Consider the following 5,062-nt stretch of genomic DNA (forward strand, 5'->3'; position numbering starts at 1 on the left):
TTGTGCCTGTATTCATTTTCTTAATTTGTACTATGATAAATGTCCTTATTTGGTACTGCAGATATTATTAGGAGTTCTTAGTAAGAGAAATATACCATTCCAACAAACATTATTATTCCATTAATTAGTTGATACAATTCATGATAAAAAGAATGAATGCAGATGTTATTCACTTGTGTATTCATTCTGTTTTTCTCGCCAAAGGACAATTCCTGGAGGGTACAGATTTTGCCTTGTAAGCTCAGCATGCAGTAGTGTGAGTGTGACTGAAATAGTCTATGAACATGTCAACACTTTGGTTATGGCATGAAGAAATGTGGCTAGGTGAAATTGTCAGGAAGATTTTTACCACCTAAAAAGAAGAAAACTATATAAATTAACAGTGCTTTGATGATGCCACCAGTGATTTAGCACTTATTTATGACACTAAACTTAAATAAAAATATGTGCAAACAACAGTATCTGCAAATTAAAAGCAGCTTAATAAAGATTGGTCCAGATGAAGTGGTAATTCACTACCATGTCATATGAGGACTTGTAGCTCATTAGTTTATGGGATAAAAGAGACTCATGAGAATATGATAGCTGTTCCAGCTGTTTCCAATATTCAAAGAGACACATGTTGCTCTTTCTGGCCCTCCAAAGAAAATCTTGATTACTTGGTTAAAAGTTCTTAGCTCAATTTAAATAAACACACTCTATAAGTGATGACAGCAGTGGCCCATCTGGAGTGGCTGCTGCAAAGATGCTGGCAGCAGCAGGGGAGATGTGGCTGTGCTTCATGGAGCCAGGGGGAGCCAGTGGGGGCCAGGAACAGGTGGAAGCCCCACCCTCTTCCAAGTTGGAAGGGTGAGACCAACCTCCCAGGCTCAGCTACAGCCTCCCAGCCCAGCTGTACCTTTGGACTGTGCTCTCAGGGACCAGGAAGACCCCCTGCCCTTGCAGGCTCAAAAATGCCTGCTCCTGCACCCTGGTCTCTCCCCATTCCCAGCACCTGCATCGATTTCGGAGCAAAGTTGAGGCTGAACCTAGCTGTTGTTGGGACCTGGCCGGGTGTGTGTGTGCTTGGGGCACTGCTGACACACTATACCCCTGCCACCTTGGTCCCCTCCAAACTTTGGGTCCCAACAAGCATGGGAGGGAGGCTGAGAGGGTGCTTAGGGCAGCTCGGTGCAGGTCCGCAGGCACCCCTCGGCATGAATAGCATGGGTGTCGTGGACGGCAGGTTGATGGAGGCAGGAGGCAGATGGGCTCTTGGGTGGGAAGGGGCCAGTCCCTGGTGAAGCCTCACTTTCAGGCCTGGGAAGGCCTAAAGCCTGGGGGCTGGGCAGCTAGTTATGCAGACCAGAGTGAGAACTTATGGTGCTTTTTCGGCCTATCAGCATGCACTTCCTCCCCACTGAAGCTGATAAAATCCCCAGACTCAGCAAGACTGGGGCAGACATCATGCTGACCTGCCTGCAGAGAGGAATTACTCATTGCAGGTCTCCTCTGAGCTGTTCTGTCACTCAGTAAAGCACCTCTTCATCTTGCTTACCTTCCACTTGTCCATGTACCTCATTATTCCTGGGCACAATAAAGAACTTGAGACCCACCCAGTGTCAGGGCTGAGAGAGCTGTAACACAAACAGGGCTGCTCATCACATAGCAATTGACAAGGAAAGGAGAGAGAAGGAGAGAAGAGCTGTGGCCCTTCGGGGAGGCCAAACCTAGGAGCTCCCTGAGGCAGAACTGTGACACCCTCTTTGGGGCTCTGTGGTTCCCGGTGCCTGCAAGCTTCTGGGCACCACCGTGTTCTGTGGTACCTACAGTGGAATCCACTGATGGTATGCCTGGTCAAGCCACAGCCTCACAGGGAGCTGGTGCCTGTGCTGGTGCCTGGGGTTGCCCACCCTGCTTAGTCAGCGTACCCGGCTCTGCACAGTGGCTGGACTCTGCACTTGTTTGTTCACACACCCCTCTCTGCTCTGCACCTGGCTTGACCTTGGCAGTCATGGGATCCAGGCTAGTAGAGCAAGCTGAGCACAAACTGCCAGGCTGAGCGGGTGGAATGGGCCCAGCGGATCTGAGCAAAAGTTGGGCTAAAGGGTGACTGGCCACAGAGGTTTCCGGCTGGTGAAGCAACACCCAAAGGATCCTGTGACATAAGTAGTTGCAGTTCAAAATGTAGTAGGTTAATCAGAAAGATAGGGAATCCTCAGTCTCTTGAAGTTGTCATAGAATAAACTCTGAATATTTTGTATAGACAGAATCCATGCATTCTATATGTGATAGGGTAATGATATTTATAGCTCATGTGGAAATGATAAAATTTTAGATCAAAGCCAAAGTAAGGATTTAAATAGCATTGTTCCTAAAGGGAACTTAAGGACTGTATCAACTTAAAGTTTAGTTTTCTAGACAATGTTTCAAAGATAAATGCCATTTTAAACATTTTGAAAATATCTCTATTATTATTTTAATAAAGAGAGAACATTGCTATTCAAAAGAACAAAGGATATGTTTTTATATGTATATATATATATACATATACATATATATACATATACATATATATTATTATTATTATTATTTTTGAAACAGGGTCTCCCTCTGCCAGCTGGAGTGCAGTGGCATGACCATGGCTCACAGCAGCCTCAACCTTCTGGGCTCAGGTGATCCTCCCATCTCAACCTCCAGAGTAGTTGGGACTACAGGTGTGCACCACCATGCCTGGATAATTTTTGTATTTTTTGTAAAGACAGGGTTTCACCATGTTGCCCAGAATACTCAAGCTCATGGGCTCAAGTGATCCACCCACCTTGGCCTCCCAAAGTTCAGGGACTACAGACATGAGCCACAGCATCCAGCCTAACTTAATATGTCAATTTCAGGTAAACCAATAAAGTTGTGTTTTATTGAATATTTATATTTTATAGTTAAATCATTTCTTTTTTTTTTTTTACTGATTTCCTTTAAAAAAGTATTTTATGCTGTGGAGATGCTAAAGATAAATCATGGTTCTGGAGATATAGGAATTTACAATCTTGAAATTGTTTATAGAAAATTGCCACATGTCTAATTTTATTATGTATATATAGCCCATTTTGTAATTCTAAATTCCTAGTCAAAATAAAATTATAAAATATTACACTTGAGGAATAAAAATGGCATTCTTCACAAATTTATTTAGGTGATCTTACACATAAAATTATATTTAATGTACAGGTTTAAACTTTTAACTTTATAATAAGAAACATGTTATTGCTATTATCAATAATTAAATCATTATTACAAGACCTCCATGACTATCTGGGAAATGCCCAAGATGGCCCAGGTATTGGTACTTGTTGTAATTAGGCACTGGAGTGCTTTGGAAGCATTTTATACAAAGTCTCTACTCCTGGACACAAAGTAGTTCACCCCTTATCTTTGATTTCCCTTGCCTTGGTTTTAATTACTTTTGGGCAACCTTGATCTGAAAATATTAAATGGAAAATTTGGGAAATAAACAATACATAAGTTTTAAATTGCACGTCGTTTTGAGTAATGTGATGAAATCTCCTGCTCAGGATATGAACCATCACTTTGTCCATTGTATCCAGGCTGTACATGCTAGTTGCCCATGAATCATTTAGCAGCCATATTGGTGATCAGATTGATATCACAGTGCACACTGCTTGAGTTCAAGTAACCCTCATTTTTCTTAATAATGGCCCCAAAGTGTAAGGGTAGTGATGCTGGCTATTTGGATATGCCAAGAAAAGCATAAAGAGCTACTTTTATGTGAAAAAGTGAAAGTTCTCCACTTAATAATAAAAGGAAAAAAAATCATATGCTAAAGTTGCAAAGGTCTAATGTAAGAACAAATCTTCTATCTATGAAATTATGAATAAGGAAAAGAAATTTATGATAGTTTTTTTGTTGCACCTGAAACTGCAAAAGTTAGTCTGTGATAGGTGTTTAGTTAAGATGGAAAAGGCATTAAATTTGTTGGTGGAAGACATGGACAGAAATGTGCTCTGATAGAAGGTAATTGGATACTACCTGCAGCTTCAAGCATCCACTGATGGTCTTGGAATATAATCCCCAAAGACAAGAAGGGACTGCACAATTGGCCACTTTAGAACTTCTCTTTCTAAAGACACATTATTTTTCAAAGAAAAAGACATAAATTGTCTGACTTTATCTAGTTTGCAGCTGCATAATTTATGTGATGTTCCTAAGTAGCTCACAGAGTTAATAACTGAATTTTCTTAAAAATTATATTATAGAAAATATTTATAGAAAAATATTTCAACATGAGTTTGAATCCAAGGTGTTCTCACTTGTATGAGGTGACACTCAACAATGATTGGTTTGTTGAATGAAAGGTAAGGTAAAAGTCAAACAAACAGACAAACAAAAATCATATTGCAATTGCTCCTGTATCCAGCCTCCACGGATACATTTAATATCACAGCTTAATTGGCAAGCCATCTTTATTTCTTTTACCCTTGAATTGAAATTCATTCTCCTTGTAATACTGTAGACAATATTAAGACAATCAAAATGAGCTAAGATGCAGCAGTATATTCCATCTATGATTGCCAGAGCTTCCAGTCTCCAATGAAACTGGGAATAACGCCCTTTTCAGGTACACCCTTCCCTCTGTATCCCTGGGAGATTGCTTTCAGGACCCTTGGAATTACAAAATCCACAAGTGCTCAAATCCCTTATGTAAAATGATGTAGTATTTACATAAAACTGATGCACATCCTCCTGTATAATTTAAATCCCCACTAGATTACTTATACAACCAAATACAATGTAAGTCCTGTGTAAAAAGTTGTTTTACTGTATTTTTCTTTGAATTATTTTTTATTGCTGCATTATTAATTTTTTTATTTTAAAAATATTTAAAAACTGTAGTTAGTTGAATCTACGACTGCAGAGCCAGCAGATAAGAAGAACCAACTCTGTATCAAATCACCACCACATTTAAAGACAAGCATCTGTTAACAACATAAATAAAATTCAAATAAAAATAAAATATGTACATAAGGGAGCAACTATGAAAAGTATTTTTCTTGATTTTTCAATA

The 5,062-nt window shown here is 39.7% G+C and overlaps 1 annotated feature.

The window, feature by feature from the left end:
* Positions 560-1,485: an enhancer, noted in NCBI's record as "H3K4me1 hESC enhancer chr18:64106439-64107364 (GRCh37/hg19 assembly coordinates)". NCBI's record gives its function as "activates a minimal SCP1, AML or CMV promoter by ChIP-STARR-seq in primed H9 embryonic stem cells {active_cell/tissue: H9 hESC(primed)}" and the evidence as "EXISTENCE:reporter gene assay evidence [ECO:0000049][PMID:30033119]".

The sequence above is a fragment of the Homo sapiens genome, chromosome 18, assembly GCF_000001405.40.
Source record: "Homo sapiens chromosome 18, GRCh38.p14 Primary Assembly".
Lineage (NCBI taxonomy): Eukaryota > Metazoa > Chordata > Mammalia > Primates > Hominidae > Homo > Homo sapiens.